This window comes from Homo sapiens, chromosome 17 (assembly GCF_000001405.40).
Source record: "Homo sapiens chromosome 17, GRCh38.p14 Primary Assembly".
NCBI classification, from domain to species: domain Eukaryota; kingdom Metazoa; phylum Chordata; class Mammalia; order Primates; family Hominidae; genus Homo; species Homo sapiens.
In genome coordinates this window covers 81998032-82018295 of record NC_000017.11, presented here as the reverse complement: position 1 = coordinate 82018295, position 20264 = coordinate 81998032, and the positions used below count along the sequence as shown (strand labels likewise).

Here is a 20264-nt window from a genome sequence, read left to right as displayed (position 1 = left end):
CACCCTTGGAGACGCAGGGCTGTGGGACCTGTCTGGATGCCCCACCCAGGTCTGGCTGCCCTCTGACTCTCAGGGGCCTCTGGCATAAGCCCCACTTGTGCCAACGCTTGGGAAGCGGGCAGGGCCTTGGACCACTTCCCCTCCAGCCCACCTCACGTTCTCTCTCTTGTCAGAGCCCAGGACTGGAAGCACCCCAGGGGCTCTCAGCTGAGCGCCATCCTGGAGCCCCGTGCAGGGAGGGGAAAGGGTAGGGAGTCAGGCCCCAGGGTGGGAAGCACAAAAGCTGCCCCTGGGAACCATCGGAGGCGACCCAGCCTCTCTCCTGCCCTGGTGCCCGAAGACAACTTTGAGGCGAGCCTCTTCATCCTCGATGTAGCCCCAGTGGCCCCGGGCAGGCAGGGCTGCTGGGATCCACCCCTTCCCCGCCCTGCCCACCTCAGTAGGTCAGTTTGAAAGCCCTGGGAGCCTGTAGAAGTCATCAGACTTGCTGGGGAGGCTGGCTGCAGGGTGGACCAGGGCCAGAACCCAGCACTATAGCCCGCTCGGGGGCAGCAGGAGGCCTGAGGCCAGGCCCTGCCCTACGGATGTGGGGTGACCTACTAGCTCCTCCCCCAGCTCCTGGCCCAGGGCTTGGCTCCTGGGTTGCAGGTGATTTCCCCCAAAAGACTTTCCTCAAGCACTTCTGTTCTCCTTGGAGGAAGTGTAAATAACTGTTAGGTTAAAAACGAAGAGGAGACCCACGCGGGTTCAGGATGCACACCACGGTCCACCAGGCTCCTCAGGGGCCCACACCATGGTCCACCAGGCTCTCAGGCCTGGACACTGCGGTCCAGCTGAGCCAGGGCAGACGACGGGGGCCCTTTTCTGGAGGAAGCATGACAGGAAGGCGTTGAGGGATGCACAAGTCTTTATTCCTGCTGGCAGAGGAGGTGGTCCTGTGGCTGGCGGAGTGGGCACCTCAGGCTGGCAGCTCTCACCTCTTGCTGGCTGTAGTGCAGACACATCAGGGTGACCACACACCCCGGGCTCTCACCACCCGGCCACCCGCCCACCAGCCCGGCTGAAGCACTCGGCCCTGCCGGCCACAGCACCTAGCCCCCCAGCCCACTGACCCTGCCACAGCACCCGGACCCCCGCCCTCCACCCGGCCACAGCACCCCACCTTCCACCCAGCCGCAGTACCCGGCAGCTTCAGCCACTTGGGCACCTTGCCCAGGCTCCTCTTCACGGGCTGGGCCGTCCCTGGGATGGGCTCAGGGGGGACCAGCGCCCCCTCCTCAGCAGCTGGCTCAGACTTAGGTGCAGGGTCAGGGGCTGGCAATGGGGAAGGGGACCCGGCGGCCCTGGACATGTACCTGTGGGGAGGCGAAGACACAGAGTGGTGAGTGCCGCCACGGGAGGTGCCCCCAGACCCACCGGCACTTACCTGGCCACCAGCACATCGGCCGCAGATGGGGAGATGGCATGCTCCAGCAGGCCAGGCTCCAGGTAGACACCTGCAGGGAGGCCCAAGCTCACCCTGAGCCTCTGAGGAGGGGTCCACTCACCATCCACCCAGCATCTGCCCACCAGCACTCAGCTCTGGGAGGGGGGTGGCCAGCAGGTGGCTGTCCCAGTCCTCTCTCGGGGAGGTGGTTACTGGGGGCCGCAGATCTCCCTCTCAGACCCAAAGGAGGCCCCAGACCGAACGCCCTCCCGGGCAGCTGGCTCTGAGGTCCAGGGACAGGCTGGCTGGACTCCGACACTGGCCCCAACCACTGACACTCACCTGCCGGCTCCTCGGCTCCCAAGTGCACCAGAGCGGCCGGGAAGAGGTTCGCCTGCAGGGAGGGCGGGGGGCTCAGGGGCCGGGTGTGGGCAGAGCACCCCCCTGCTGTGAAGGCAGCTACACCCCCAGGGCCAGGCCCCAGCTCCACCCTCAGACAGGCTCTGCCTGCCCGGCCCCCATGAGCCCATCGCCCAGCTTCCTGTCTGACACCAGCCCTACCCCTGTAAGCAAGGCCAGGGCGTCCTGGGACCAGCGCCCTCCATGGGACCACCCCAAGCCCCAAGCCAGCTGAAGGCTGGGGCCTCGAGGGTCCTCAAGCCATGCAGCATCACCGTCCTCCCTCCTCTGGCCTCTGCACCCGAGGAAGGTGGGGCCAGGCGTGGCGGGTCCTGGCGGATGCGCCGGGACCACCGTGGAGGGGTGCAGCTGCCAGGCTGGGGTATCCCCCTCCCAGCTCCAGATTCCCCCTCCCGGCTCCAGGCTGCTCAGGGCCACAGGCTGGGGGTGGGAGTGGGGCTGGGGGATGTTAAAAGATTAATAAGAGGAAGCTTCAAAGGCCAGGCCCAGGAACGCCGAAACCTCAGCCTCCAGCCGGGGGCCCAGGGACACAAACAAGGGCCGTGAATGCTTTGAAAACCCAATTGTGCCGCCTGGGATCAAAGCCTTGTGAGCAGAGAAGGGCCTGTGGGGTGGGCAGGGGCTGCCCGAGTGGCCCTGGAGAGGCGCCGGAAGCTGGGGAGCCAGGAAGGGGGCACGGGGAGGACAGCGCCAGGAGCTGCCATGGTCTCAGCCTCTCCCAGATGGAGAGCATGCTCCGCCACCACCGGGCCTCCAAGATTCACACCCAGGCTGCGGCTGCTCACAGAAGCCCAGGGGACACTGCCCAGAGGCTGCTGTGGGCACAGGAGCCCTGGCCAGCCCCATCTGCATCCCACCTGCTGCCGGGCGAGAGGGCTCCCTCAGAGGCCACCGATGCAGAGAGGCACCTGGTTCTCATCATAGCCCCCACAGGCCAGGACCCCCAACCAGCACTGCCCCACGGGACGCACAGAAAGGGGCGGGCAGGACTCGGGAACACCAGGAGAGGGAAGTAGGCTTGGCAGCCAGGCCTGGGGCACCTGGGCTCCCTGTCTGCGCCTCTGTGCAGGGAGCACTGAGCCAGGCAGCCTACCCGGCCTGTCCCCACGTGCTTGTGCCCAGCCTTGACTCGGGAGGGATCGCCACTGCTCGGACGAGGGGATGGTGGAGAGGAGGGTCGGCAGACTGGGTGGCATGGAGGCTGACCAGTGCTTGGAGAGGCTCGGCCTCTGGATGGACCCCAAAAAAGAAGCCTCCCAGAGTCCACGTCGCCTCCATCTCCTACCACTGGCAAGCGTGTTCTCTGCTCTGGTCCCAGGCACCGTTTCAGCGAGGGACCCAGGGTGAATGGAGCCACCCGGTCACCAAGCTGGGGCTGGAAAGGGAAAGTGGGTCACACCGTCCCCCCAGCCAGAGCAGGGCCCGGGAAGGGCCTTTGAGGGAGGCACAGGCTGAGGGGCCTCTCCCCACCAGCACTGTCCCAGGATGTCTCAGGCTGCCCCTGCCTGGCTCCCTCGGCTGACAGGGAGAAGTGGGGGTGCCCGCCCTGCCCTGACACAGCCTGAGGGCCTGGAGCCGGCCCCTCCCTAGCTGCCGCCCAGGACACTGGGGCCCCAAATCCAGCCGCCTCTCTGCTGCCAACCCCTTGCCCCACTCAGTGTTGCCAGGAAGAGCTTCCGAAAGGAGGCCCACGTCAACCCCCACGGGGCAGCAACTCTGTAGGGGCTGCATGCACACGTGGCCCAGCGCCTGGCCGCCCCCTCCAACGAGAACAGCACCACCCTCCGGGGAACGAAGCCAAGAGAGGAGCCCTTGCAGCTCAAGACGCCCGGGAGGGAGGCGGCACCACAGCGCCTGGGAGGGAGGCGGCACCACCGTGCCCGGGAGGAAGGCGGCACCACAGTGCCTCGGCAGGGAGATGGCACCACAGAGCCCGGGAGGGAGGCAGCATCATGGTGTCTGGGAGGGAGGTGGCACCACGGTGCCCGGGAGAGAGAAGGCACCACGGTGCCTGGGCAGGGAGAGACGGGGCATCCACCCACAGAGCGGGAGTGGGGGCTGCAGGAGCCATCCTGCCTTCTGCAAGACCATTTGTCAACGAGGAACATTTCAGAGGGTCCAGGTGGGGTAGGGCCTGGTGGGTGGAAGGAAGGGGGCCTGTTGGTCCCAGAGAGGCCCCGGCAGTGGGCGACACGGCAGTGCAGGACGGGGCTGTCCTGGGTGGAAAGGAAGGACGACAGAACTGGCTAGGGGCGGGCGCCCAGCAGGCACTCAGGCCAGAAGTGCCAGTCACGCCCTGCCAGGTGAGTGGCTTGGGGAGTGGGGAACCAGGCAGCAAGGGTGGCCTGTGTCCTGGCAGACGGTCCCCAGAGGCAGCCTGAGAGCTCCAACAAACGGAGGGTGTTAGGAGCCAGGCTTGCCCTGCCAAAGCCAATGGAAGGAAGCCCAAACAGCAGAGCCTTTGAAGAGATAAGTGAGGTGACCGTGACATCAAAGGTGGGCCTAGCCCAGGGTGACCTTCCTCATGACCTGAGGACGCGGACCGCACACAGAAGTGACTGTGTGAGGACACCAGGGCAGGGCCAGCCCTGATGCCCAGGGCCAGGACGCAGGTTTCAGGCAGGGGCGGGGGGCTTTGTTCCCCACAGTGGTGCCCCCACACTGCTCACAATTCCCTGTCCTCACTCCTGGCCGCCTCCTCCCAGCCCTCCCAGAAAACCTGCACTCTCCTGGGCCAGGGCCACAGAGGGCTGCCGGGCTACCGGAGCCCCCACACCCACGCACGCTGTCCCTCTCGGAAGCCGGGGGCCGGCCCCTGGACATCCCCCAGGCAGCAGGCAGCCGGAGTGGGGCTCTGCCAGAGACGTGAAAGCTGGTGCTTCCGCGCCCGCCGCCTGCTTGCCTGCCAGGGAGGCAGGCTTCCTTCCCTCAGCCCCGCCAGCTCTCTGACGGCAGGCAGGCAGGCAGGCACGTCACCGGGGACACCACCCCGAGAGGCCCCGAGGCTAGAGCCGAGCTGATGGAGGGCAGGAGACGGTGGCTGGTAGGGAAGCCAAGCGTCCCCAGAAACAGGGCAGCAGCACCCCAGTGCTCTCAGGGGCCTCCCAGCGGGAGGGTGGGCTGCAGGCCTGGGCACTGGTCCTCCTCCATCCCAAGGCATCTTCCAAATTCAATGTTTATCAACTGGCTGGCCAGCAAGGGAGGGGATGGAGACGGAGGAAGGAGGCCCGGAGTCCGCCCGGCAGCTCGGGGGCTGAGAGGGGACTGTCTCACCCCTCCCCTGCCTCCGCTGCAGGGAATCCCGCTCAGTCCTGCTCCTGATCACCCCTGGCAGCTGCCAGCCTTCTTGCCCCAGCTCAGTAAGCGGCTGCAGCCCCAGGCAGTGAGCAAGCTTCTCACCTCCAACCCAGGCCTCTGTAGAGGCCTGTGGCCACTTAAAAAAAAACCCGCCTCTGTGGCTAATTAAAATATCTGAAGAGGCTTTGAAGAGGAAACCATTAGGCCAGAGGGCTTCGGAAGGCCCCAGGCAGCTCTCCCACAGGCCAAGGACAGGACATTCATTGCTTCTGGCTCTGGAGGGCGGCCCAGCAGGGCTGGGAACCCGGCACCCTCACCCTGGCCCCACCCTCAGGAGCCCTCAGGGAGGTGGCAGGGACCCACAGAAGCAGCGGACAGCTATGGGCACCAGGGCGTTCCTAGCAGGGACCGGGGGGCCAGCGGGAGAGGCCGGGCAGGGGGAAGGGGCAGCTGAAGCCCAAGGCGGCCGCCTCCAGCTGAGGGCCTGGTCCCTCTGGGGCTCCCTGAGCCCTGCTCCGAGGCCTGCCGGGCCCTTCCTCACCCAGACCCCTGGGCAGGGACTGCTGCCGCCTTGGCCCCAGCACAGCAGCCCAGGGGGGCCGAGACCTCCAAGCGGCCTCAGTTCAGGCAGGCCGCCTAGCAGGTCCTTTCCCACCCGGGGCCAGGCAGGAAGCAGAGGAGGCCGGAAAGCCGTGTCAGAAGCAACTTCAGAGGCGCACGGCCCCCTCGGAACCCACCGGCTCTCAAAGGCTTTATTATCCTGCCCCAGCGCCTGCCAGGCCCCTCCTTCCTGCCCGAGGCCTCACGCTCTCGTCCTGCCCTCCCTGGAGGGCCCCGCCCCGCAGCACCCCAGGGAGGCCCTCAGGTACCTGAAAGAGGGTCTGCGTGTGGTCGTCCAGGACTGTTTTTGGAGGGGTGATGACTGAGGAGAGAAGGCACCTACGTGTTAGGAAGCACCGTGGACCTCGCCCATCCATGCGCCCGAAGGAAGACAGGCCTGCAGATGGGGGTGACGCCTCAAGTGGGGCAGAAGAGCCCCTCACGAGCACGCCCTGTGCCCACACTCCTGCTGCAGAAACTCCAGCTGAGGGCTCGGAAGGGCCGGTGGGGGGCAGGCCCACCTGCAGGGGACACCACCCGTGCAGCCCGGCTCCCCTTGCAGTGGGCAGCCTAACCCTTTGCCACCTAGACACCCTCCAAGGGAGGCCAGCCACTCCCTGTCCACCCACCCTTCCCACAGCCCTCGGGCAGGAGTGGCCTGAGCCCCAGGGGTGGGGACCAGGCTGGGGTGCAGCAGGGCTCCAGAGGGGAGCAGGGCGCTGAGAGAGAAGGCAGGAAGCCTGGCTCCCACCGCCTGGCTCGGGGAGAAGGGCCCTCCTAGGTCTCCACACAGACACCATGGGCTGCAGGAGGCACCTGGGCGGGAGGCCACAGATGCTGCTCCTGTGGAGAAGCTGCCACGAGCCCCAGCTGGGACGGGCGGTGTGCCCACAGCACCAAGGCCCCGAGCACTGGAGGCAGGAGTGGGCTCAGGAGAAAAAACGTACACAGGTAAAATGACAGCTCGGGGTTCCCCAGGTGGCTCCTCACGAAGTCTCGCAAGTCCCCCACTGCAGAGGAGAAAAAGAACATACAGACAGCTCTTCCACCACGCCAGCCCCGGGCTGCCCCAGCACCTGGGCCACTGCTCCCACCCTCCTGGGCCTTTCCCCGAGGGGTGGGAATTCAGCCCTGTTCCTCCCACAGCACTCCAGGTGCTCGGCGTGGCTGGGCCACCGTGCGGGCCACACTTGGGACCCCCGCCCTGCTGGAGAGCACTCCCACTGCCACCCGCTGCCCCCCAGCCCCACCCCCGCCCCAGCCTAAGCGCTTCCCTTTCCCTGGGGGAGGCCCCTGTGACCTTGGGCTGCTGCCGCCCGGCCGTCTGGGTACAGGTCACAAGCCCCTGAATGTCACAGCACCACTGCCCTCCTCCCGGGGTAGGGTGCCTTCCTCTGGGTGCCCCTCTGCCCCACCCATGCCCAGTAGGTGGGCGACGTGAGCACTCAGGACCACGGGCTCCCTGAGCTGGGGCCGGGCACCTGGAGCAAGCGCCCAGCCTGCCTGACACTCTGCGAACTGGGATGCCTCTGCACCCCCAAGGGGACATCAGCACCCGCACCCACCCAGTGCCCTGGAGCCCGCAGGCCAGGTGGCTGCAGTCCTGTGGCCTGGAAGGAAGGAGCCGGGAGAGGCCCCATGGGCCCCTGCCCCCCATCCCCGGACACCCCACAGCGCTGCCCACCTGTCTCGCTGGGGCGGAAGAAGCCCTGTAGGACGTAGCGGTCGGGGAACAGGACCCTCAGAGCCACCTAGGCCAGACAAGTGGAAGGGTTGGAGGGACGGCCGGAGCTGCACCAGGGACCAGGGCGTGGCCTCCCCACTCGGCCCATGCTGGGCCATGGACACCAGGGCTGAGGCAGGCAGAAGCAGCCACCCCCAATCAGGGCCTGGGCTTTGACTCCCCCGTGGCAGGCTGGGCATGGAGACAGCCAAGTGCCGTGTGTGTGCACAGCGGCCTGCGTTCTAAAACCACACTGACCTGGGTTCAAATGTGCTGGTTTTTTTTTTTTTTTTTTTTTTTTGAGATGGAGTCTCACTCTGTCGCCCAGGCTGGAGTGCAGTGGCATGATCTCGGCTCACTGTAAGCTCCACCTCCCGGGTTCACGCCTTTCTCCTGCCTCAGCCTCCCGAGCAGCTGGGACTACAGGCGTGCGCCACCTCTCCTGACTAATTTTTTGTATTTTTAGTAGAGATGGGGTTTCACCGTGTCAGCCAGGATGGTCTCGATCTCCTGACCTCATGATCCGCCCACCTTGGCCTCCCAAAGTGCTGGGATTACAGGCGTGAGCCACCACGCCCGGCTCAAATGTGCTGTTTAAAGTTTCATTCAGCCAGGTGTGGTGGCTCAAGCCTGTAATCCCAGAACTTTGGGAGGCCGAGGCGGGCAGATCACCTGAGGTCAGGAGTTCGAGACCAGCCGGGCCAACATGGTAAAACTCCATCTCTAGTAAAAAAAAAAAAAACAACAAAAATTAGCCGAGCTAGTGGTAGCGGGTACCTGAAATCCCAGCTACTTGGGAGGCTGAGGCAGGAGAACCACTTGAACCCGGGAGGCGGAGCTTGCAGTGAGCTGAGATGGCACCACTGACTCCAGCCTGGGCGACAGAGAGAGACTCCGTCTCAAAAAAAAAAAAAGGTTTCATTCTAAATCATGAGCAGGGGAGGATCAACTGGCCACTAAGGGCATGCGCGCCACCACGGGGGGGCCCTGCTCAGAGCTGTGCCTCAGTCGCCCCCACGTCCCATCCACAGACCTCACAGGGGGCCCCCTCAGAGCTGTACCTCAGTCGCCCCCACGTCCCATCCACAGACCTCACAGGGGGCCCGCTCAGAGCTGTGCCTCAGTCGCCACCACGTCCTGTCCACAGACCTCACAGGGGGCCCGCTCAGAGCTGTGCCTCAGTCGCCCCATCCCGTCCACAGACCTCACGGGGGGCCCCCTCAGAGCTGTGCCTCAGTCGCCCCCACATCCTGTCTGCAGACCTTTGGGTAGCGCTCCAGCTTCTCCTTTATCTGCGCCTCCCTGAAGGCCTTGGTCACCAAGGGGGCTTCTTCCAGGCGCTTCCTGTGGTGAGGAGGGGAAGGAACAGGGCTTCTGGTCAGAATGGGGGCCCTGGCAACAGGCCCCGGGCTCCTCACCTGCACCCTCCAGGGTGGGAGTGGGCTGCTCTCCCCACACAAGGCAGGAAGGTCTGGACGCCCCTCCCTGGGCCCCAACCCTCTGAGGTCCTGTTAAGGGCAGCCTGTCAGGGACCTGGGCCGGGAGCCAGTGCTGGCACTGGGGACAGCGGGCAGCACAAGCACCCGATGGGGCAAACCCTGGCGCGAAGATGCCGGGAGGCACTGAGGGGGCACCCACCGCTCACTCTTGAGCTGGGCCAAGCGTCTTCTCACGTCGTCCACCGTCAGCTCAAAGAACTCATCAGGCAGCTCCGCTGGCCAGGCCTGCAGCCGCTCCTCCAGGTCGGGGTGGCACACCACCGGCTCCCGGTCCACGGGCTCCCGGTCCACGGGCTGGAGGCAGAGGGCGCGGCTGACGGCGGGTGTCACGGGCTGGGCCCTCCGCACCCCGGGCTGTCAGTGCCCCAGCCGAGGTGGTCACACAGACTTGGGAGCTGGGCCCACTCCCTCCCTGGCCCCGGCCAGCGCAGGGCCAAGGCCAGGTCCTGGGGGCAGGGCTGGGCACAGCAGCTGGGGGACCCCACCCCACTCAGAGCCTGTCCAGGGCTGGAGACCCCCCTCTCCCAGTCAGTGCACCAGACCTGATGCTGAGCCCCTGCTCCCCAGCAGGGCACATGGCCCCTGGAGTCTGGCTCAGGCCACGTCAGGGTCTCCATGGGGGGGAGGGGTGGCGACAGCCGCCAAATTAGAGCGTCGGCAAAAACCCCAGTCCAGCTGCCCCCGCTGCCCTCTTGGCCACAGCTCCATGGCCAGGCTGAATCCATGCACGCCTGCCCCCAGGGAACAAGCCGGCCCCTCCCTCTGCCCACCCTGGGATGCGGGAGGGACAGCGTCACCCCTAATTGGCATCAACAGCAATGAAATTGACAAAGCCGGGCCGTGCAGCTCGCGGAGCCCTGGGCAGTGATTTCAATGCATTCAGCACAGTGCTGGGGTACGTGGGACACCTCAGCACTGCGCCGACCCACACTCGGCCCCGTCCCCCCTCACACAGAACAGCCGAGAGCTGTCGGGAGTTGGGGTGGCCTGGAGCCGGCTCTGGGCTCCCACTCCTACCTCACACTCTCGACACCTGGGGATGGCTTGGCAGTCCCTGCGAACAACCCTCCTGGTCCCGTCCCGTCTACCCTGCAGTCTCCCACCCAGCCACGGGCTGCTGCCTCCTGCCCTACACAGCATTCCAGCACCCCCACCATGCCCACACTGGGTGACAGCCAGGGTGCGCCTGCCAGAGGTACGCCTGTCCCAGGTGTCTCCAGGGCTGCCCTCCGGACACACCTGAGACCTCGACTGCTGTGGGCGACAGGGCCCTGCAGCCACCCAGCATGTGGCTCTGTTATGACTTGTCACGGGAGTCTGGCGGGAGCTGCACTGACCTCAGCAGCGTCATGGCAGGGCAGCCAGTGAGGGCTGACCACGGCTCGGCAGTGGGGCCCACAGGTGGCTGACCAAGGCCCCTGGGGGCTGCCCTTCCAAAGCCACAACCATCCTGCAGCCACTGAGAGCAGCCTGCGCCAGAGCTTTTTATAACAAGATGCCAGGCGCCAGGCGGCCCCCCACAGCCCCAGCGCCTGCATTCCAGAGGGCCGCGAGCACGCCTGGGTTCCCGGGGGAGAGACCCTGGGCCAGGAGCCGCCATGTCCATGAGCGGCCAGGCCAGCCTGTGGCAGGTTGGCATCCTCTGCAGCCTGGTCCAGAGCCTCCCTGGAGGAGCCCCCAGAAGCCACACTGTCTTCCCAGGCGGGCAGAGTACCCCTGATGGGCTCGTACTGAGCCTGACCACCAGACGGGGCCCCAGGACATGCCGTGCTCAGGCGGCCACGTCCAGGGCACAGCCTGGTGGTCACTGGGGGAAATGTGGGCTGCTGCCACGTCCGCATACTGGACAGTGCCAAGGACCCCCAGGCCCACAGCCCACACCAGGGTGCCTCCAGGATGGGGGCCATAGGGGACAGGACCATCAGCATCACGCTGCTAGGGGGCTGTTGACTTCATTTGGAAAACAAAACTGAAAAAATCTCTAATTCCTGTGGATCCACCCTAGATTCCTACCCGTCATCCCAAGGGCCTGGCTCAGGAAGCCTCTGTCTGTCAGACAGACCCAGGGTCCCACACGGGGCCGTGGTAGCAGGGGAGAGCGGCCTCTACGGAAACCTCCCACACCCGCCCTTCACCTGGGCAGAGCAGCCCCGATCCGGAGCAGCCTCGCTGGAGCCTGGGGTCAGGCTGGATAAGCGGCTACCAGAAGGGCCCAGGCCACCTGAGTCACCCCGAGAACATATGGCGTCTGCAGTAGGGCTGCTGGGAAATGTCACTTGGCCACCAAATGACAGAGGGAGATGCCAGGGGACCCTGTGTGTGGAGAAACTTCAAACACCCATCAGCTCAGCTCCGAGCCTTCCCCAGGAGAGACTTTCTGTCCCACAGAGAAGAGGGGCCAGGAAGGGGGAGCCACAGCGGCAGGGCCTGGGGTCTCAGGGCTGCCCCAGCCACACCCAGCCCTGTTGACTGGTGAGCTCTGCCCAGCAGTCTGGCCCGCATTTGTGGCATCAGCGCCGCTCCCGCGCCAGGTGGATTCACAGAGATGCCTTTGGATGGAAAACAGAGGTTGAGGGATGAGACACTGTGAGGGAAAAAAGCGACAGCGAGGGCCCTGCAGGGCAGTCAAGGCCTGGCCCCTGGGGGAATTCCCGTCCCCCCTCCCCAGCCTCCTCGCCGGTGCCAGGAGAAAAGAAACGGGCTGCCTGTGCAGGCCAAAAATGACGTCAACCGGGGGTGAGGCGTCCTGGAGCCTCCAACACAGGGAGGAGGAGCAGGAGGCAAGGAGAGAGACAAGCACCCTCCTTTCTCTTTCCCCTCAATTTCTTATTTTGAAATATTTCAGCCCACAGAAAGATGGGCAGACACAACAGTGAACACCCCTCATGCAGATGTGATCATTCGGCTGCATTCACTTTCCTTCCGCTCTGGGGCAAACATGCATGCACATATGTGCACACACAGACATGCATATACACACACACCTGCATGCACCCAAGCACACGTGCACCCGCAAGGACACACACACACCCCCAAACACGCACGTGCACCCGCAAGGACACGCACACGCCCCCCAAGCATGCACATGCACCCGCAAGGACACACACACACACACACACCTGTGCACATGCAAGGACGCACACACACACACCCGTGCACACACGTGCACCCACAAGGACATGCACACACACCCCAAGCACGCATGTGTACCCGCAAGGACACACACACGCCCCCAAGCACACACGTGCACACGCAAGGACACGCACACGCAAGGACATGCACACAACACCCAAGCATGGACATGCACACAAAAGAAAACCACAGACTGTGCCCCAGGAGCACAGCAGCATCTGCTGAGAGAAGGACTCTTGTCCCAGCTGCCAGCATCACACCAGGGCCCACCGCATGGGGGAGGTGGCTCTCACACACCCACACTGGAAATGTCCCTGCTGTCCCCAAGTACCCGGACGGTTTTCCCACACACACGGTCACGCTGGGGCTGGAGCTGTGCCTCCGCCCCTTCCCACATCCCGACAGGGGCTGTGTCAGCAGGACGCCTCCGTCCGCCGTGGTCTGGCCCCCAATTCTCTGTGCTGAGTGAGGTTCGGGTTGAAGGTTTCAGGGAGGAGGCAACTGGATGCCATACCACTGTCCCTACAAACATCCCCACCTGGAAAGCTCCCAAGCAGACGGAGGGCCAGCGGGGAATGAGGCCCAAACCTCAGCAGTGCAGGGGGCCCCAACCTGGGTCTCAGCCTTGGTGGGGTCCCCCAGGTGTGTGGCCGCCAGGTGTCCCTGGGGGCCTTGCCACGCCTCAGGAAGCTGCTGGGGTCAGTCTCACTCAGCCAACGGGGTGGCTGAGAGCCAGGAGGAGCCTTCCAGAAGCCTGCGTGGGGCTTCCTGTCTCAGATGAGGCCTCTCACGAGACCTGCCGACCCACGGGGCACACAGGCGCTGCAGCAGGAGGAACTGAACCGCAGGGCAGCAAGAGCCGGGGGACCACTGCCCCGCAGGCCTCCGAGACCAAACCCCAGGGCCCAACTGATGCCCACTTCACGCGGCCTCATGTTTCCGCCACCCCGGCGCCCCACCCTGCCACTGAGCAGAGGCCGTGTTCTGCTCTGCCCAGCGGGCCAGGACTGCCCCAGAAGAACCAGCAATATTTCCGGAACACTCGGCACCCCCAGGCCTCCCGCTGCTCCCCAAAGCCCTTGCCACCTCGGAAGCTGCCTGCTCTGGCAGAGGCGAGAGCCCCACGGCTGCCGGGGCATCCAAATGGCAGCTGACCCTCGCCCAGCCACGGATGGCCTCCCCTGAGCCGATGCAAAGAGGCCCAGACCCCCGGCCCCGGGCAGCAGGTCGCAGGTCCATGGGAGCAGCTGGGCTCTTCCAGACAGGTTCAGGAGATGGAGCCCAGAACCTTCTCTGTGCCGCTGATGCCCCCGGACACCAGTGCCTTCACCAGGAGGAGCTCGCCATGCTGAGCCCAGCCTGGTTTCCGCCTCACTGCCTGGGCCCGGCTTCCAAAGGCCCCACACTCCCTTCTTCCCGACCCTGCCCCTCTTGCTGGGCAGAGTCAGAGGTCTCAGAGGACAGGGGTGATGCCGGGGGCACAGCAGGGTCCAGCAGCCGGCACTGCACTTTCACAGGGGCTGTGTGTGCTGAGCTCCCCAGAAGCTCAAAATGCGCCACAGGGTGGGGGTGCCTGTGGCTGCCACATGACACACAAGGAGGCAAGGAGCGTGGAGGGTCCAGCTGGCACCATGAGGGAAAGGTGTGATGGCCTCTCAGGCTCCGAGGGTGGCCGGGCAGCTGTGAAAGACCCGACTCCTCCTGCAGGTGAAGCCCCTGCATGCTTCTGCCCCTTTAGCCCCTTCCTGTCTCCTGCAAACCCAGGCCCCCGGTGGACCCCCAGGTCCCGGCCTCCAGGAGGGCCGCCAAGGACCGGACCACAATGATGCTAACCATTTATCCAGATGCCCCGAAACTGGAAGGGGGCCGGAGAAAGGCCAGAAAGGACGGGCAGGACTAAGGACAGGGACGCTGTCCGGGATGCCGGGGGCAGCCCTGCGGGCGCGCGGCCTCACAGCAGACAGTGCTGGGGCATCCCTGGGCCGCTGAGCTGGGAAACCGAGGGGAGGGAGGCTGGGGGCTGCAGGGTGAGGGCGCCAGGGGCATGCACACAGGCCGGGACACTGCCCAGAGGTCTCCTTTTCTTGACAGTAATTTTCCAGGATGTGATGACACACAGAGGAAAAATGTGAACCCATTCGGAGGTGGCCCCAACCTCAGAGTTTCCAGCGTCTCTGAGGGTTTGTGTTTTTCCCTCCCGGCCTCCCTCCCTCCCACCGTCTCGGCCCGGCCTGCCCCGCCAGGGCTCCGGTGAGAGGGAGTGTGGAGTTTCCCCTGGAGGCTCTGAGCTTCAATGAATCACTACGCCAGACACGGGCCAAACCTCCCGAGTTACTCAGCGCCCCGGCCACCCTCGGAGGCAGGCGGCGGAGCACGTGGACGCCATCAAAGGCCTGGGACGTGCACAGCAGGAGAGGCTGTGCCAGGGCGTGGGCGCGGGCTCTGTGGGGAGACCGCTGCGACCGGCGTGGACAGGCATGCACAAAGGACGCAGGCGGGACTGCCTCTGAAGACACCACAAACTCCATGCCCAAATTTTACATCCAAAGCACGGGGAACACCCTCAGCACAACATCCCTCCTGCACCAGGCAGAGGCATCAGGCCTCGAATCCCACCCAGAGGAGACGGCGCCGCCCCCAGGCTGAGCACAGCATCCGCACCGATGCTCATGGCCCGGGCCTGCCAGCGAGTGGCCACATGGCTGGGGAGAGGCCAACAAGGAAGGCCCAAAGCAGAGATGTTTCTGTTTTGAGACAGCGTCTCGCTCTGTTGCCCAGGCTGGAGTGCAGCAGTGCAATCTCAGCTCACTGCAGTCTTGATCTCTCAGGCTCAGGCAATCCTCCCGTCTCAGCCTCCCAAGTAGCTGGGGCTACAGGCACACACCATCACGCCCTACTAATTTTTAAATTTCCTTTGTAGAGATGGGGTCTCGTTATGTTGCCCAGGCTGGTCTAAAACCCCTAGGCTCAAGAGATCCTCCCAGCTCGGTCTCCCGAAGTGCTGTGATTATAGGTGCGAGCCACTGTACCCAGCCAAGAAAAGTTATTTTAGGCTGGGCACGGTGGCTCACGCCTGTAATGCCAGCTCTTTCGGAGGCCAAGGCCGGCAGACCACCTAAGGTCAGGAGTTCAAGAGCAGCCTGTCAACATGATGAAAACTCCATCTCTACTAAACGGGCACCTGTAATCCCAGCTATTCAGGAGGCTGAGACACGAAAATCGCTTGAACCCAGGAGGTGGAGGTTGCAGTGAGCAGAGATCGCACCACCACACTCCAGGCTAGGCAACATAGACAGACCCTGTCTCGAAAAAAAAAAAGTTATTTTAAAAAGATGAAAACAGGCCGGGCGCGGTGGCTCACGCCTGTAATCCTAACAATTTGGGAGGCCAAAGCAGGCAGATCACCTGAGGTCAGGAATTTGAGATCAGCCTGACAAACATGGTAAAACCCCATCTCTACTAAAAATACAAAAATTAGCCGGGCATGGTGGCAGGCGCCTCTTAGCTACTCAGGAGGCTGAGGCAGCAGAATCACTTGAACCCGGGAGGTGGAGGTTGCAGTGAGCTGAGATCATGCCACCGCACTCCAGCCTGGGCAACAGAGTGAGACTCTGTCTCAAAAAATAAAAATAAAAATAAAAATAGGCTGGGCACAGAGGCTCACACCTGTAATCCCAGCACTTTGGGAGGCCGATGCAAGTGGATCACCTGAGGTCAGGAGTGCGAGACCAGCCTGACCAACATGGCAAAACCCCTTCTCTACAAAGAACACAGAAATTACAGGTGGCAGACACCTGTAATCAATCCCAGCTACTCGGGAGGCTGAGGCAGAAAAATTACTTGAACTGGGAGGGGAAGGTTGCAGTGAGCCGAGATCGTGCCATTGTACTCCAGCCTGGGTGACAGCGCGAGACTGTCTCAAAAAAATAAATAAAATAAAATAAAATGAAAATGAAAAGATGAAAATATAAAGCATGAGGTACTCATAAGAAAAAAAAATCACTTTTTAATTTTAAAAAGAAAAATACTTTAGAAGATGAAAAGAGGCCAGGTGCAGTGGCTCACACCTGCAGTCCCAGCTACTCGGGAGGCTGAGATGGAAGGTCATGACTGCTGTGAGCCGTAATTGTGCCCCTGCACTCCTGCCTGGGCAAGAGAGCGAGACTGTGTCTCAAAAAAAAAAAAAAAAAAAAAAGGAAAAAGAAAAAAAAAAGAAAAGAAAAATAAGAACAGGATTCAGGACTGCTGCAGCCTGGGCTGACCATGAGCCCGTCTGGAGCTGGGCACGTTACGGTGTGGCAGGCGTGTGTCACTGTGGATAAAGCGCACCAACACCCCCGGACAGGCAGGAAAAGCAGTTTGGTGAGGGGGGTCATCCGCAGGGCAGAGTCTGGAGGCTGCTCCTGGGGGAGCCCGGGAAGGGCTGACGGGGCCCCTGACCTGAGTTCCTGGAACAATCCCAACCAGGGGATCTTGGGCCCAACGGGGAGGAGAGTCCAGGCCAGAAGGGGCCAGTGGGGTCTGCGCCCTGCAGCAGCCGACTCGCCCAGTACGGAGCCCCACACTCCCAGTTCTCCCCACAGCCCCAGTGGCGAGCATCCACCCCCTACCCCCCGGGGTTCCTCACCAAAACACAAGCGCCTGTCAGTCACCAGGCTTCTAAACAGCCGGGACTCAGCCAGCCACCTGCAAAGTCGCTGAGCCATCTGCCAGCCACGCTTGGTGGCCATTCCAATCAAGGCCACAGGCTGTGCCCCTAGGGACAGCCTCAGAGCCCAGGGTTGTCCTCAGACACCCATGAGGCATAGCAGGGACCTGGGCCACCCTGGCCACTGACTGTGCTGGCCGCAGGGATGGGAGTCTGCACCGCGTCGGATGTGGGGGCTCCTGTCTAGCCCGGCGTCAGGGTCCAGGGGCAGGAGCCCCTGGCCCAATACCTACTGCCCAGGGTCAACAGCACCTGCCCTGCCAGGCACACGGGGGTCCCAGGCAGGGTGTATTCACCACGCCCAGTGCATGACCCGCTCCAGGCCCAGCCTCCTCCCCGCTGGTTTACCCCCAAAACCCTGGGACAGGCTCCTCCCCGCCCCACGAGTCCCACACCGGCTGTCAGCCACAGAGGGCCGGGTGTGAGCAGGGGTGCTGAGGAAACCCCAGGCCCCGGCTCCAGGAGCAAGGTTCACCCCCGAGGCGGGAGGGGCAGGCAGGGCAGCAGCCGCCAGCCCGTGCGGGCAGACCCAGCCTTTGATCAGGAGCGGCCCTCGTGCCAGCTGCCGGGAGGCCGAGTTGTGGGGGGCGTCTGCTGGGACTGGCGTCCCAGCCCAGCACAGGGCTGCAGGGCAGCCTCCCAGCCAGTGGAGGCACTTCAAAGACAGGGCCAGGGGGCGCCGGGCAGCCCCAGCCTCTCCCAGCGCCCGGTTCTGATCGCCAGTAAAACTACCTTCTAATAATTAATGCCTGACATCAAAGGCAGGAACCGCCCGGGTCTGTGAACCACCCCGGGTCTCGGCCGAGGACCTGCCTGTATTTTATCCTGTCTCTTCCTTCTGACTCTTTATTTAAGTCCAAAAACCACACACAGGCAAAACATTAATGGGAAACTTGGAAACTCTTTTTGCTTACTAAAGTGTACCTTTGAAGTTCCCCAAAAAAGTTCTGTTTTGTTCCCTTCTCCCCTCCCCCCATCACTGAAAGGGACCCAGCAGCGGCATGTGGCCCCGGGCCCTCTGCGTGTGCGGCTGGCGGCGATGGGAGGCGCGGGGCAGGCAGGACGCCCTCCATCAATCAGCTGCCCAAGTCCCAGATCAAAGGCCCTCAGCACGCCATGCAGGCCAGGCACACGCTCCCTCCCCTGGACCCCTCCTGCCAGCCAAGACCCCACCCCAACAGCGCCTCCCGACGGGCGAGCACGGGCGGGCACTACTCTGGGCTGCGAGCCCCATGCTCCACGCCCCACGCTCTGCAGACAAGACCCGCCCTGGTCACGGAGGGAAGGGGCTGAGGCCCACGCCTCTAGAATGGGGGAACATGACAGCCACTGTGTCTCTCACACTGAGGGGTCCCCACAAGAGCAGGCCTAGAGGGGGTCAGCCCCTGCTCACCCGGAGCACACGGGTCGAGGGGCACGAGCGCTTCATGGGGACTCAGGTGTCACAGTGCAGAGTTTGGCAGAGTTCCCAGAGGGAGGATGGGGTGCCAACACCATCATAGTCCTAGAATGGACCCAACACCCTCACTCCCCACTCCCTTGTCCACTCAACAGGAACAGTCCCAGGACAGCCAGGGGGACAGAAAACAGAGGGGCTGGACCCTGACGCCGGGCTAGATGGGAGCCCCCACATCCAACACGGTGCAGACGCCCGGCCTCTGCCCTCCCAGGTGTGTGGCCGGGAGGCAAGAGGGAGGCATGAGGTTGCTTCACTCAGAAGTGGCCAGAGGAGGAGGAAGCAAACTCCTGACCTCACCTGAGTTCCGGGACACGTAGCACGAGTGCCCAGGGGACAGCCGAGGCCGGGGCCATGTGCACAGAGCCCTCCTGGCCACTTCTTGTTTTCTTTTTTTTTTTTTTTTTTGAGATGGAGTTTCACTCTGTCACCCGGGCTGGAGTGCAGTGGCACGATCTCGGCTCACTGCAACCTCCGCCTCCCGGGTTCAAGAGATTCTCCTGCCTCAGTCTCCCGAGTAGCTGGGATTACAGGCACCTGCCACCACACCCAGCTAATTTTTGTATTTTTGGTAGAGACAGGGTTTTGCCATGTTGTCCAGGCTGGTCTCAAACTCCTGACCTCAGGTGATCTGCCCACCTCGGTCTCCCAAACTGCTGGGATTACAGGTGTGAGCCACCATGCCACAGGCCCAGACACAAATATTTTAAATGTCCACAGGAGATGGAGGCATGGGGGCCTTCCAGGCCCACTACGTCAGCAGGAGCTCAAGAAGCTCTGACCTGGCCCCTGGGCTGTGGCTGGCAGCTGGCAGCCTGGCCCTCAGGGGACACAGGGGCTGGGAAACAGCCTCCTCCCATCCCTGTCACCGAAAGCCGCATGACAGTCCCCCAGTCTGCCTCTTTTGGCACAAAACCCATAAATGCCACGAACACCTTAGTTCTGCAGGTGAGGAAGCTGAGGAAGTCAGGTTTCAGCAGCCCAGGTGCAGGGCTCTGATGCGGGGTCAGGACAGGGACAAAGGAAAAGTCAGCCACAGGGCCAGGGACCCCACAGACACGAGGTCCCCACGGTTGGGGGGAGGCGTGAGGGAGAGGGTCAGGCCACAGCCACACACAGGCATGCTCGGAGGTCAGCACCTGGCCGCCTGCCTGCATGCACTCCCCGCCAAGGGCCCAGTGCCCCAGTGGTGGGTGTAGTCTGCAGTGAGCAGTGGCCATAACCTTCGGAGAACTTCCAGAACCCAGAAAAGAGGGGCCACTGCCCAGCTCCCTTGTGAGCCAGGTGAAATTCGATTCCCAAACTGGATGAAGACAGAGCAAGGAAAAAAAGTCTGTCTCACTTATGAACACACATGCACAAGCCAATAAAATAAAGCATACGGTCATCTCCATTGATGCTGAAAACACTGAAACGGTTCAACACCCACTTAAGATTTTTTTAAATGTCAGAAAGTTAGGAATAGTAACTTTCTCTGCTTGATAAAGGCTTTTTATAGCACACATCATCCTTGGCAGAGAAATGACTAGTAATTCCTGTTACGATCAAGACAAGGAAGGATGTCTACTAAGATCGCCACGATCCAAAAGCACCAGAGGCCCATTCGCTGCAACACAGGAAGAAAAACGATGAGAGGACAAAGGGAAAGGTCTGCAGAGGCCCCGACAGAAACCAAGACGCCACTAGAACTAGCAAGGAGTCAGCCAGTCAAAGATGTAACAGGAAGCATGATACTATCCACAATATTATAAAAAGTAACTTTCAGGCCTGGTGAGGTGGCTCACAATTGTAATCCCAGCATTTTGGGTGGCTGAGATAAGAAGATCGCTTGAGCCCAGGAATTCGAGACCAGCCTGGGCAACAGAGAGAGACCTCGTCTTTATGAAAAATAAAAATAAAAATAAATTAGGCTGGGCGCGGTGGCTCAAGCCTGTAATCCCAGCACTTTGGGAGGCTGAGGCGGGCGGATCACCTGAGGTCAGGAGTTCGAGACCAGCCTGGCC

The 20264-nt window shown here is 62.8% G+C and overlaps 1 protein-coding gene across 5 annotated transcripts in view, besides 9 other annotated features; it reads right to left on the bottom strand.

Annotated features, from left to right (window-relative positions):
* Positions 890-20264, bottom strand: part of ASPSCR1 (ASPSCR1 tether for SLC2A4, UBX domain containing) — a 39778-nt gene continuing 20403 nt past the window's right edge. For 2 of the 5 annotated variants that reach the window (NR_045351.2, NM_024083.4), the window contains 9 exons: positions 9105-9259; positions 8729-8810; positions 7428-7494; positions 6691-6753; positions 6013-6065; positions 1769-1820; positions 1427-1496; positions 1183-1355; positions 890-987 (listed from right to left, as the gene is read on the bottom strand). Coding sequence is in view for 3 of the 5 variants with exons in the window: in NM_024083.4 (NP_076988.1) it covers positions 974-987; positions 1183-1355; positions 1427-1496; positions 1769-1820; positions 6013-6065; positions 6691-6753; positions 7428-7494; positions 8729-8810; positions 9105-9259 (729 nt within the window). In the remaining 2 variants the exon portion in view is untranslated. Of the gene's footprint in view, positions 988-1182; positions 1356-1426; positions 1497-1768; positions 1821-2939; positions 3222-6012; positions 6141-6690; positions 6754-7427; positions 7495-8728; positions 8811-9104; positions 9260-20264 lie in introns of those variants that run through there. The other 3 variants (NM_001251888.2, NM_001330528.2, XR_001752618.3) reach the window with 3 other exon arrangements.
* Positions 1133-1854: an enhancer, noted in NCBI's record as "H3K4me1 hESC enhancer chr17:79974318-79975039 (GRCh37/hg19 assembly coordinates)". NCBI's record gives its function as "activates a minimal SCP1, AML or CMV promoter by ChIP-STARR-seq in primed H9 embryonic stem cells {active_cell/tissue: H9 hESC(primed)}" and the evidence as "EXISTENCE:reporter gene assay evidence [ECO:0000049][PMID:30033119]".
* Positions 2329-2623: a silencer, noted in NCBI's record as "tiled region #10297; K562 Repressive non-DNase unmatched - State 18:Pol2". NCBI's record gives its function as "represses a minimal TATA promoter and a strong SV40 promoter by Sharpr-MPRA in K562 cells {active_cell/tissue: K562}" and the evidence as "EXISTENCE:reporter gene assay evidence [ECO:0000049][PMID:27701403]".
* Positions 2578-3299: an enhancer, noted in NCBI's record as "H3K4me1 hESC enhancer chr17:79972873-79973594 (GRCh37/hg19 assembly coordinates)". NCBI's record gives its function as "activates a minimal SCP1, AML or CMV promoter by ChIP-STARR-seq in primed H9 embryonic stem cells {active_cell/tissue: H9 hESC(primed)}" and the evidence as "EXISTENCE:reporter gene assay evidence [ECO:0000049][PMID:30033119]".
* Positions 9648-10148: an enhancer, noted in NCBI's record as "H3K4me1 hESC enhancer chr17:79966024-79966524 (GRCh37/hg19 assembly coordinates)". NCBI's record gives its function as "activates a minimal SCP1, AML or CMV promoter by ChIP-STARR-seq in naive H9 embryonic stem cells {active_cell/tissue: H9 hESC(naive)}" and the evidence as "EXISTENCE:reporter gene assay evidence [ECO:0000049][PMID:30033119]".
* Positions 12278-12784: an enhancer, noted in NCBI's record as "H3K4me1 hESC enhancer chr17:79963388-79963894 (GRCh37/hg19 assembly coordinates)". NCBI's record gives its function as "activates a minimal SCP1, AML or CMV promoter by ChIP-STARR-seq in naive H9 embryonic stem cells {active_cell/tissue: H9 hESC(naive)}" and the evidence as "EXISTENCE:reporter gene assay evidence [ECO:0000049][PMID:30033119]".
* Positions 13574-14095: an enhancer, noted in NCBI's record as "H3K4me1 hESC enhancer chr17:79962077-79962598 (GRCh37/hg19 assembly coordinates)". NCBI's record gives its function as "activates a minimal SCP1, AML or CMV promoter by ChIP-STARR-seq in primed H9 embryonic stem cells {active_cell/tissue: H9 hESC(primed)}" and the evidence as "EXISTENCE:reporter gene assay evidence [ECO:0000049][PMID:30033119]".
* Positions 14096-14617: an enhancer, noted in NCBI's record as "H3K4me1 hESC enhancer chr17:79961555-79962076 (GRCh37/hg19 assembly coordinates)". NCBI's record gives its function as "activates a minimal SCP1, AML or CMV promoter by ChIP-STARR-seq in naive H9 embryonic stem cells {active_cell/tissue: H9 hESC(naive)}" and the evidence as "EXISTENCE:reporter gene assay evidence [ECO:0000049][PMID:30033119]".
* Positions 14618-15139: an enhancer, noted in NCBI's record as "H3K4me1 hESC enhancer chr17:79961033-79961554 (GRCh37/hg19 assembly coordinates)". NCBI's record gives its function as "activates a minimal SCP1, AML or CMV promoter by ChIP-STARR-seq in naive H9 embryonic stem cells {active_cell/tissue: H9 hESC(naive)}" and the evidence as "EXISTENCE:reporter gene assay evidence [ECO:0000049][PMID:30033119]".
* Positions 16588-17235: an enhancer, noted in NCBI's record as "H3K4me1 hESC enhancer chr17:79958937-79959584 (GRCh37/hg19 assembly coordinates)". NCBI's record gives its function as "activates a minimal SCP1, AML or CMV promoter by ChIP-STARR-seq in naive H9 embryonic stem cells {active_cell/tissue: H9 hESC(naive)}" and the evidence as "EXISTENCE:reporter gene assay evidence [ECO:0000049][PMID:30033119]".